Here is a 12,530-nt window from a genome sequence, read left to right on the forward strand (position 1 = left end):
ATATAGCAGAGATGGTGGGGACTGGATTGGGAGAGAAAGGGTGACTCACTTCTGCAGGTGGGCAGCATGTCACTCCATTGCCCGCTGGCCAGGCATTGGGACCTAGCAGCCCCCTCAGCCATATACCCAGGGTTGCAAACAAACTTGACCACATCGTTGAGGTTAAACTGGTTACCCTGAGTGAGGCCGTTGACAGGGTTGCCTGGGTGTCCACAGGTAATTGCTGTAACCAAAACAGAAGATAGGTAAGCCCTCCTACTATTCCACACCCCTCAGAATTTATCCACCTCTCACCTGGCATCTCTTAGGCCATCAGTGAAGTTCAGCCCTAAGTCTAACTTCAATCTCTTTTGCTGTAAAACCTTTATAAACTGAAATTGTCAGGGGAACATTCTGTCTGCCTTGAAGATATGTCTGTAGCTTGGACAACTTGAGATCAATCATTCTATGACTTCCCATAGGGTGTTAGGACTGGACTGTGGTTCTCTGTGGTCTGAGCGGTCAGTGCTATCTTACTTTCCTTGCCTCTGATGCCCTCGGCTCCCCAGATCCATTCTTAATTGCTGGGTATACTGATGGCCAACTGTCAGCTGGTTTAGGCCCATCCTCATTCCTGAGCCAACCTTGTAGAACCAGAGTGAATACTAACCAAGACTGGTGCAGAGTTCAGTCACTCTGCTAGATCAATAGCCCAGGTAAACTGGGGAAGCAGAGCTGCTGTTTGGAGAGAACCCACTACCTCCAATTCCTTCCATGGCAAGGGAGTTCAGTTAGTGCACTTTGATCTGTGCAACTTGGGAGTAATGAGCTGGCATGTTTGGCTCAGCATCCCTTCTTTTTCTAGGGACCTAGTTGTCTGCAGGGAGCAATGTTCTCGGCTGCTCTCAGCTGTTGAGGAGGGAGGCTATCCCCAACATTGCAGGGCTGCATGCCCCACTGCAGTGTTGCCTCTGTGGGTGGGTGAATCCATCTCATTCTGGGTTCATGTAGCAGCCTCCATCTGACTGTCACATTAAGCTCCATTTTCCAACTTAGCCTTTATTAGTAAGCGAGGTAATATTTGGGCCTCCACCTACCAGTCTGTTTTACTATTTTGTTCAGACATGAGCAGGGAAGAGAAAAGGGATGTGGTATTTGCAGGCCACCATGCTTATCCCTGCATCCCTCTGATTCCCCCTTTCTCCCAGTGGTATAGCTCACTCTATTTGGCTGCACTGGCCTCTTGGAGGTTTCATGAATATACAAAGCAAGTTCCTGCCTCAGGGCCTTTGCACTTGCTTTTTTCTCTACTTAGGACATTGTTCCTGCAGATATCCCTTAACTCCTGCCCTCTTCTTCTCAGGTCTCTCCTCAAATTAACCATGTCAGTGAGGCCTTCCCTTAGTCCCTAGTTGGCCAGCATGGCCAGTACTGCCAGGTCCCTTGCTCTGCTCAACCTCTCTCCATAGCACTGTCAGCAACCAACACACCACAGCACTTCTGTATTTGTTTATTGCTTATCACCCTTCAGCTGAATGCAAGCTCCTTGAGGTCAGGGACTTGGTTTTGCTTATTGCTGCATCCTTGGTGTATGTACCAGTGCCTGACATTCAGCAGGAGTGTGATAAATATTTGCTGAGTGAATCAGCGAATGAGTAAGTGCATGAATGGATGGATGCCTAGGCTTCTGCTTTGATCCTTAGTCCTTAGTTCTATTTCGTCCCAGCCTGGCACCCTGGTCTCATGGAGTTGAACTCCCACCTGATGCTTTTGCCAGGCCTCTCGCTTTGTTCTGGGTTTTAATTTGTGGGAAGATTAGGAACTATAAGGGATGTTCTCTTTGTCCAATACTTAAATCCATGAGGATCCCACCTAAGACCCAAATGGTGATAATGGGGACGGGGGTGTAAGAAGAGGAAGCACCCAGTCCTTGGTGTGGCCAGATCTGGTGTTTTCTGGGCTAGTTCTCTTCTGTAAATCTCAGTAGTAGCAACCCTGACTCCAGTGGAGGGAGCCAGGAAGAGCAGGGGACATGCTGTTAGTGGACCACAGGGGTTCAAAGCAGCCTGGCATAGTGAGATGAGAATGAGCTATGAAGGCCAGCAGACCAGGATTTCGGCTCAGCTCTGCCCCTTCCTGACTTTGGGTCTAAGGATAATTCACTTTGAGCCTTGGTTTCTATAGCTGCAAAGTAAGAATTTTGATATGCATTTCACAGGGTTGCTTTGAAAATAGATTCAATTCACATAATTATTTATAATCAAATGTCTACTGAGTGCCTTTTATGAGCTAGGTACTCTGCTATGGAGTGGAATATACAAAGAAGAATATAAAATGTTCTCTGACCTCAGGAAGCTCATTTTACAGACTTGTAGGAGGGCAGGCAGGGAAGCGGCTGTTAAACCCAGTGGGCTGGTGCTGAGATAGAGCCCAGCGCAGTGGACCGTGGCTTTTACCCTCCTCTGGGGAGAGAGTGGGTCAAAGAGGGTCCCACAGGGAGTGGCATGAGGTCTGATCTAGGTCTCAAGGGTGAGTAGGGCTTCGCCAGGTCAAGAAGGTGGTGGGAGAGCAGGGATAAGCATCGCAGCATCTGTAAACCCCTGAAATTATATGCAAGGCACTGGGTGTTTGCAGCCAGCTCGGGAGAGGGTCCATTACTTTCACCGGATTTGGAAAAGGTCGTGATGCCCCTTCCCTGAAGGCGGAAATCACTCATATAAAGAGAGAGAAGAATGTTGAGGATTAAAACCCTTGGGAATACCACTTTTTGAAGGGCAGATGTTAAAAAAGAAAAAACCTATAGGAAACTGAGGAGTGATCAAAAAAGTAGTAAAGCAAAAAGCTCTACAGGAGGGGGTAGTTGTCACAGAGCCAAGAGCCTCAAGAATTGTCAGATATCCCTGATAGATCAAATAAGATAAAGATGAAAATGTGTTCATCGGATTCATCAATAGGACCACTGGTGACTTGCAAGTGTCCCCTGCCTGGTTCAGGCTCTTACCCACTGCTTCCCACATATTCCCAAGCCACAGGCCCTGGACCAGGATCAGCAGGAGAAGAAGCTGCTGCGACCAGGTGTCATCTCTGGTGCCCCCATATAAGTTCTTCTTGCTCTCTTTAGGTCCCAGGCTTTCTGGCTGCTTGGAAGCTTTGGCTGGCACTTCTCAGATTCCTGCTCTGCAGCTCTTGGGTAGCAGAGGCTCTGAGCATTCTAGAACATGGCCTAGGACCAGAGATACTGTTGACTGGGATGGAAGTTCTTTCTGGCTAGAGCAGAGAAGTGGCCTTTGCTGCTAATGAGAGGGGAGAGGTGGAGGCAATTAGTGTAGGCAACCGTCTCAAGCAGCATGGCCATGTGATGGTTAACTTCACGTGTCAGCTTGGTTAGGCCGTGATACCTAGACATATGGCCAAACATTAGTCCACATTATTCTAGATGTTTCTGTGAAGGGGTATGTTTTAGATGAGATAACATTTCAATCAGGAGGCTTTGAGTGAAATAGATTATGAGGCCCTCCATAATGTGGGTGGGCCTCATCCAATCAGTTGAAGGCCTTGAGAGAAAAGGCAGCCTGCTATCCCTGGAAGAAGAGGGAATTCGGCTAGCAGCCTGCCTTCAGACTTGAACTGTGATTCTTTCCTGGGTCTCTACCCTGCCAGCCTATGCTGGTGATTTTGGACTTGCCAGCCTCCACAATTGTGTGAGCCAGTTCCTTAAAATAAATTGCACTCTCTCTCTATACACACCTCCTATTTGTTCTGTTTCTCTGGAGGACTCTGAACTAATACAGGCTGCCATGGGCAGAAGAATAAGGCATCATTAGGAGGAAAGTAGAGGTCCTGATGAGGCTTGAGCACTTAATGGGCTTTTGAGCACATTTCAGGACAACTAGACCTAGTTTCCTAAGGGCAGAGATGATGTATGACACATTCAATTCATGTTGATCCTCAGCACCTAACACAGGGTCTGGCATATAGTAGATGCTAAGGGAATCTTTATTGAATATGGTCTTAGAAGCTGAGGGAAACAGAAAGGGAAGGTCCATGGTAACATAGGAGAGGATTAAGAATAGACTAACCTCACTAAGGAGGCAGGAGGGAAGGAGATCCAGAGACTGGTGGAGGGATTAACCATGGGCTGGGAGAGAGATTCTTCTACTGAGGTGGGAGAGAAGGGGCAAGGATGGATGTACACAGAGCAGATGTGTGGGTGGGGAAGCTGAAAGTAGGAGAAGCTATTTTCTGATGGCTTCTATCATCTCTGCAGAATAGAAAGTGATATTATATGATTAGCTAACAATTGTTGGGGCTCGCAGTCATTGTCTCACTTAATCCTCACAACCCTATGAGGTAGGCACCACCACTATACCCACAGAAAACAGAATTTCAGAGGACTCAAGATATTTGTTCAAGGGTCACAGTTTCTAAATGTCTCATCTGAATTTTGAACCCAGCTTCTCTGATTCCAGGCCATCTTAACTGTTTAACTTAGTTATTTGCTGAGAACGTAGGTAGGGGCGATGGAATATAAGTCTTCAGAAAGGAGGCAGAATTGTCAAACAGCTGTATGGAGAAAGGGCAAGGGAACTGACTGAGGAAATGAAGAGGACAGCTGGAAAATTTTGAGAGTCTGGTTGACATTGGAAACCTTGACTTTGTATGTACTGGCAGCTAACACAGTGCTTAGCACAGAGTAAACACTTACAAATATTTGTTCTTTTATTCTTGCTTTCCTCCTCCAGATAATTCCCAAACCTCTGTGCTCCAAGAGAGAATGGGCCTTAGTGTAAGAGATCCTGGATTCTGTAATGTGATGGTGGCAGCATTACTACCACCACTACCATCATCTTCATCATCATCATCATCACACAACAGCAGCAGCAGCAGCAGCAACTGCTGCTTAACATCTGGATCAGACACCGGTCTAACTATCTTATGTGTATTAATTTATTTAATGCTCCCAGTAGTCTTTGAGGTGCCTGCTTTTTACAGGTGACAAGACTGAGACCTAATGAGGTAAATCGACCTACCTAGAGTTACATAGCCACAGCAGATCTGATGGTAGAGCTGAGATGTAAACCCAGGCAATCTGGGTCCACACCTGAGTGCCTAACTACTTCACTCACTGCCTTTGAATATGGTCCAGTCTAACGTTCAATGTCTTTAGGCCAGGCAGACATTCTCCACCCAGACCCCGACAGTCTCTATTATTTATTACCTAAATCTCTTTGTATACATCGTGCACCAATTTCCTGAGGGCATCTGCATGTTCTTCTGGGTGAAACTAAACATGTTTTATTTAGACACATCTGAAAGAGTGACTGAATACAGATGGAACTTTATTTTTTATTATTTTTGAGATGGGATCTCATTATGTTGCCCAGGCTTGTTTCAAATTCCCAGGCTCAATGGATCCTCCGACCTCAGCCTCCTGAATAGCTGGGACTACAAGCACAAGCTACAATATCTGGCTTGGGTCTTGCTTTCTGTAACCCTTAAGAAGTTATTAAGACTAATTTCAGGCATTGTTTTTTGAGAAGTTCTCATTATTTTATGGCCCCATCCCATATATAAAAAGCCAAAAGAAGAATTAAAATAAAAAAACTGCCTTACAAAAATTAAGAAGGAAAACTTGCACTTTACATAAAGGCTCACTTTAGGGAAATTTAAAAAGTGAAGAATTATCCAAATTACTTCCAGGCAGCTAAGCATAACAGTGATTGCCTAAATCAAAAAAATGCAGATTAACCAGAAGAATAAATAATAGAAAACCCAGGCCTGCAGCCTAACTAGAAGCCAGAGAGTGCTACAAACTTTAAATTACATGTAAGAGAAATATACACTAAGCCCAGGCAGAGTTACTTCTCATGGTTCTGTTGCAAGCTTTTGTGGAGAGCAAGACTGTATGAGAAAGAGAAGAGAGGAGCAGGTGAAGGGCTTAACACTGATCTAAAATCACTGCCAGAAGGAGAAAATCCATCTCATATATGAATATACTGAAAACAAATCTTGGTATGTCAATGTACAACCACAGAAAAGGGACATAAAAGTGTGTGTGATTCTCCCTCATTGCTTCTGGAAGAAAAGAAAGTGACATCCTCTGAGTGATAAAGGGAATAAGAAGCAATGATGGGAAAACCTGGGGTTCTGCAAGACAAAAGAAAAACACGCAAACAAACAAAAATGAAGGACACACAACCTCTTCCTTACCACACACAAAACCTTATATTAAAAAAAATAAATAAACAAAACAAAGGCAAACATCCAAGATAATCAAAATGAGATAAAGAAGTAAAAACAATCAGAGAGAAAGACTTTGTAACACTGACAGAAGAGGGTACTACTAAACCACACTAAAGCCATAAAATGAATAGAAGACATCAACCTAAATGTATACGAAGCTACTTTAAGAAAAAAATAGAAAAGAATTCAAGAATTTCATCTGATGAAAACCTCCTCACCAAAAACAAAACATGTGAAGCGTAAGAAAAATGTAGCAGCATTCTAAACTGAACTAAATATTCTCAAATAAGCATCTGGAGATATTTTAAAAACCACCATGAAAATCAGAAAATCAAAAACTAAACAGCACAAATGGACAAAAGGTGGAAGAATATAAAAGATAACTGATTGTATGCTTTAAAGAGATAAAAGAAAAAGACAAAACCATCTGAGAAATGAAGACTAAATTATAAGAGGCCCAAGAAAGAATATTCTCAAATGATAATTTAATAAGAGTTACTCAAGAAAGTCAGGCAAAAAACCAAGGGAATTAAAATGAGATAAAGAGGTGAAAATAATGAGAGAGAGGCTGAGAGAGAAGATAGGCAAAGAAGATTCAACATACACATAATCAGAGCTGATGAAGAAGAAAAAAAAAACAGTGGGAAACAAAGCAATATCAGTGTTTAAAACCATAATCCAAGAAAAGTCTTTGGAAATAAAGAAAGACCTGAATCTATATATTCAAAGACCCATAGAATACCTAAGGAAATTGTCTTGGAATAATTAACTCTGAAGCATGTCCTAGTAAAAATATTAGACTTTAGGATAAAGGGAAAAATAATCAGGAACCTCAAAAAAAAAAAACAACCAAATAACCTATAAGAAAAATAGAATTAAACTAATATTATAATTCCAAAAGTCAAATACGTAGAAACAGAGAGCAGAATGGTGGTTACCATGGGTGGAGAAGTGGGGGAAATGGGAGACGGCAAAATTAAGACCGAACATATCAGTCATATTAATATATGTGAATGAGTTTAACTAACCAACTAAAAGAAAAAGATGGTTAAGTTAGCTTATAAGGCAATTTATACTGCATACAAGAATCACACCTAAGAGAAGCAGAAGGCTAAAATAGAATGGTCAAAGGTGCATCAGGCAAAAGAATTAAAGCAGGGGTTGTAAGCCTAATATCAAGCAAAGTACAATTCTAGCTAAAAAATGTTAAAAGTGACAAAAAAGTAATCTTTAAAGGCTAAAAACCACAATGTGCAATGGAGATACTAGTTATGAATATCTATGCACCAAATAAGACAGCAACCATCTTTATAGAACAGAAACTACAGGAAGTGCAAGGAAAAACAGAAACACACTAATAATAGAAAACTTTAAACACATCTCTCAGAATAAAACAGATTGAGTGGGTGAAAAGTAAGAATGTAAAGGACATAGACAACATAATCAATCAGATATATCTCATGAATATATAAATAAAACATGACATCCTAATATCCTTTCTTCTCAAGTGCACATGGGACATTCATAACAACTGACCAACTATTAGGTCACAAAGAAAGCTTCAGTCAATTCCATGAAGTAGAAATATTACATACAATGCAATAAAATTAGAAATGAATAACACAATGAAAAAAAAGGGCCTTCCACCTAGAAACAAATCCTTCTATTAAAAATTTTCTATGTAAAAGGGGAAATCAATACCAAAATTACAGAATTTCTAATAAATAATAAACATTTATTATTAGACTCTATAGGATACAATTAAAGCAGTGATCAGAGGAAATTTCATAGTCTTAAGCACTTATAGCAATAAAACTCAATAGAAATGAAAGAATGAAAATAAATGAATTAAATTCCTACTCAAAAGCTAGAAAATGAACAAAAATGTAAACCAAAAGAAATCACAAGGAAGGAAATAATAAAGGTGAAAACAGTGATTAATGATGCAGAGAACTGAAAACATTAGATCAACAATGCTTTCAGTTTTGAAAAAAAAAATAGCAATCATATATATATATATATATTTAAAACAAACCTCTAGCTAATCTAATTAAGAGACAGGGAGAAAGTCCATGTTGAATCTGAGCCCCATGACTAGGGAGAGTGGATGACATACTTACGCACACAGAAAGGGGTCTTGCCCGACCAGTGATGATCCTGCTGGCAGATGCGCACAGACATGCCGATCAGGCGGAAGCCAGCATTGCATTGGTACACCACACTGCCCCGGTAGCTGTAGTTCTCCCCATTGATGTGTCCGTTGACAATGGGCTCAGGAGTCCCACAGTGTCCAGCTTTGGTGAGGGATGGGGAAGAGAGTACATCGAAGAGGAGCTTATAGAAAATGGAGTGGAGCTTGGTCTGAGTGGCTAGAGACAGGGATGGTGGGGAAAAGGACCAACTATCCCACAACTCATTACTTTTCCCACCTCTCCCTGAGAGTAGCAATCTAGGAGTGACTTCAGGAACCCTCAGCATGACAAAAATAGTGTTGAGGACTTGGCACCCCAAATCCCAAGGTTGTACCCCAAATGGCCACTCACTTCTGAGCTTCAGTTTCTGTGTCTCTACACAGATGTGTGCAAAATGATCAGTTACCTCACTGTCCCCAGGATCATCCCCCACTTTTTCTTACCAACCAGATACAAAAAAGCCTTCTATAAAAAAACAAACAAACAAACAAGAAACGCCCCCAAAAACTCAAACTCAGGAGCATCTTTTTTTTTTTTTTTTGAGACAAGATCTTGCTCTGTCTGCCAGGCTGGACTGCAGTGGCACGATCTTGGCTCACTGCAATGTCCACCTCCTAGGTTCAAGGGATTCTCCTGCCTTAGCCTCCCAAGTAGCTGGGACTACAGGCATCCACCACCATACCCAGCTAATTTTTGTATTTTTAGTAGAGATGGATTTCACCATGTTGGCCAGGCTGGTCTCGAACTCCTGGCCTCAAATGATCCACCCGCCTTTGCTTCCCAAAGTGCTGGGATTACAGGCGTGAGCCACCACACCTAGCCTGGGCATCTTGTTTTTCACCGAGCATCTGCTGCATGGAGGGCACCATTGTCTACATTAAGGCAGTCAAAACCTGGCTGTGTTGAAACAACTATGTAAAAACAGATGGTTTGGCTAAATTCATCTTTCCTTCCTTCTCCTTGAGTAGCACCTAGGTGAATTCTTTTTATTATATGGGATTTGGGTAGAATATATTCCTGGCATTTCTACCAGCTTCCTTTGGCTCTCTGTGGAAATAACCTGTGACTGTGTCCTTAATGGGCCTGAGACAGTGGCAAGACAGCACTGTTCACCCCAGGACAGACCATTCAATCTATCCTATTAGGTTTATGTGGCTGGGGCCCTCTTTTAGACTCCAGGGGTCCAAGAAAGGTGTGAGAGGAGACAGAACCATAGAACCAGGGAGTGGATTAGCCATGGAGGAAATGATAACTTTGTCCTTTGGAAGCCAGGTTGTTTTATGTTTCTGTAATTTGCTTAGTATATATGTATAGATCTATATGTTGTGTGTAAAATTTGCTAATAGATAATATAAAAGGTATTTTAGGTGTGTTACAGGAATGCGTCTGCAAATTTGCCAAAAATGGAGACTGGGGCTTCACTCATTATACAAAGGCCAATAGGAAGGGATTGTCTTTCTAACCAGAATGAGAACCCCTCAAAAGCTTGTCTCTTTAGATCTGAGGTTCTTCTCCTTCTTTTGGGTGGCCCAGGAGAAGCTGTTCCAGGGTTTTAGTCATGCCTGATGGCCAATAGTTGGTGTTTGGATTAAGCATTTTATGTCAATAGGTGAAATGATACTGTTTAAAGACTGGATCTCAGCTTTGGAAAGATCTAATCTATCTCAAGGAGAAAAACTGGGCAGGATAGGCCTGCAGAGGTCACTTACCAAGGCAGCGGACTTCAGAGCCACTCCAGAGCCCATTGGCCATGCACTCACGCACCCTGGAGCCCACCAGTGTGTATCCGGAATTGCAGGAGAAGATGGCTGTTGCCCCGTAGACAGACAGTGTTCCGATGCGGTGGCCATTGGGGGGAATCGGGAGCTCTCCACAGGAGATGACTAAAATGATCACAAGATGCTCAGTAAGCCAGCCCCAAGAGGAGGGACATGGCTGCTTCTGCTTAGCAAGAACTGTGACAAAAATAAGACCTGTTTAACCTTACTCTGCTGGAATTCCTGACCAGAATATGGGTTGTGTTGCTGACTTGTGTGATGTGGCACCTCAACTGGAGGTGTCTCCAGAAGCCCCTGAAGGTTATTTAAAATGCCCGGCTCCACTGCAGGTGCCTGACTCACCAGCTTTGCAGATAGCGCCCTGGCCTGTGTATTTTTTTAATCCTCCTCAGGTGGCTGAGATGTGCACTGTGGTTAGGAAGAGATGGCGATTCTGTGGTATGCTCCTGAGTGCCCTGGGCAGACACTGCTAATCAATTTCCTTGCCCTTCTTTTCTGAGCCCAGCAGCCTCACACTCTTTGTCAACAGAGCACTGCTGAGAGCCTCTGGCTGATGTATGAGGTGAGGCCTAATCGCCAAGGCTGCACTGAAATGTGAGTGGCTGCATTGTAGTGAGGCTGCCAAACGCTTGGGACTACTCTGCCACATATGTGGTTACATCCCACTGTGCAGTCTGCACCACAGTGTGCAAAGACAACAGTGTCATGAATCACGGACATTGGCTTTTTTTTTTTTTTTTTTTGAGACGGAGTCTTGCACAGTCGTCCAGGCTGGAGTGCAGTGGCACAGTCTTGGCTCCCTGCAACCTCTGCCTCCTAGGTTCAAACAATTCTTTTGCCTCAGCCTCCCAAGTAGCTGGGATTACAGGTGGGCACCACCATGCTGGCTAATTTTTTTTTTTTTTTTTTTTAGTAGAGACAGGGTTTCACCATGTCGGCCAGGCTGGTCTCGAACTCCTGACCTCAAGTGATCCACCCACTTCAGCCTCTCAAATGCTGGGATCTATGCCCAACCTGGATCACAGGCATTGGAAGACACCATTTCTCCTCCTTCCCAGTTTCAAACTCCCACTTCTCACTGACCACTTCCTTCTACCTCTTTACAATCACTTGCCTCCTCTGTGACATCTGCATTGGTCACATAAATATGATGAGCATATCCCTATCGTAGTGCATGCTGCGATGAGCTACTCAGAGCCCCTTTTAGGACCGAGGGACTTATTTCCCCAGCTGCTGGAAAACAACCCTTGGCTGGCAGCCCTTTTCAGATTGCTGTGGTTGAGGAGTCCTCCCACCTAGGAAGGTCATGTCCCATTCCTAGGCCAGCCTGCATCCAGTGGCTGGTCAGTGTGGCAGTATAACAGTTCCCTTGCTCCAACTTGTGACAATTCTGAAGGGCCATCCAGAGCTCCCTGGGGGGTGAGCTAAGGCTTTCATGGATACTGCATCAGAGCTCAATTCTCCTTCTGCCCAGTCCTGCTTCCTTCCCTCCTTTCCCTTCTGTAGGTGGTGTTCTCAAGAGCACCCCCTAATAAGCCTCTGTCTCAGAGTGTCTTCCCAGAGATTCCGACCTTTGAAAGTGTATTAAAGAACCAAAGAAAAACAATTGACAATGGAGAAGGCAGGCAGGTTTAGGTGACCTGTCGCCTGTGCTACCCTCATTCCTCCTATATACACTCCCATTTCAGGTCTTATCGCACCACATTATCATCACTTCTTTATGTGTCTGCCTCTCCAGTAGACTATAAAGTCCTTGTGGGCAGGAACCAAAATCTTTTATCTTCAAACCTCTACAGTGTCTGGCATATAGTAAGAGCCTAAGAATATTAAAGAAATGAATTAGTGCATGCTCATCTGGACAAAAGCAGCTTTTGATAAGATGAGAAGATGCTAAGAAATACTTCCTTAAAGGAGTAAAGGAGTAGGCATTTTCCCAGCTCCTGATTCTACTAGATGAGAGTTTAAAAAGCAGTACACTGCAATCCCTGGTGATACCCCTTTTTCCCCCACCCCAGTTCACTCCATGCATGAGACAGCTTAGGTAGGAGGGACCCTGCTAAACTTGCCCACCCTCCCTTCCTGGGCTTACTTCGGCAGGTGGGCGTAGAGTCCCCGAGGCTCCATTTGCCATTGGCCTGACAGCGGATGACCCTTTGGCCAGTATAGTAGTAGCCAGGGTCACAGATGAGCATCAGCTGGGCCTGGAACTGATACTGTGTCTCAAAGATAAGCCTCCATCGGCCATGCTCCACGCTGATGCTACTGACATCAGGACAAGTCACAGCTGGGGAAATGAGGAAAAGAAAGGAGGATTAATTACTTGATTAATTCTGGAAGA

General features: G+C 43.6%; 1 protein-coding gene across 10 annotated transcripts in view; it reads right to left on the reverse strand.

Annotated features, from left to right (window-relative positions):
• CSMD2 (CUB and Sushi multiple domains 2) overlaps positions 1-12,530 on the reverse strand; it is a 651,845-nt gene that overhangs the window by 45,253 nt on the left and 594,062 nt on the right. For 7 of the 10 annotated variants that reach the window (XM_047443685.1, XM_047443656.1, XM_047443666.1 and 4 more), the window contains 4 exons: positions 12,282-12,476; positions 10,124-10,297; positions 8,343-8,516; positions 50-223 (listed from right to left, as the gene is read on the reverse strand). In XM_047443685.1, the coding sequence (XP_047299641.1) occupies positions 50-223; positions 8,343-8,516; positions 10,124-10,297; positions 12,282-12,476 (717 nt within the window). Of the gene's footprint in view, positions 1-49; positions 224-8,342; positions 8,592-10,123; positions 10,298-12,281; positions 12,477-12,530 lie in introns of all 10 variants that reach the window. The other 3 variants (NM_001281956.2, XM_017000191.2, NM_052896.5) reach the window with 3 other exon arrangements.

This window comes from Homo sapiens, chromosome 1 (genome assembly GCF_000001405.40).
Source record: "Homo sapiens chromosome 1, GRCh38.p14 Primary Assembly".
NCBI classification, from domain to species: domain Eukaryota; kingdom Metazoa; phylum Chordata; class Mammalia; order Primates; family Hominidae; genus Homo; species Homo sapiens.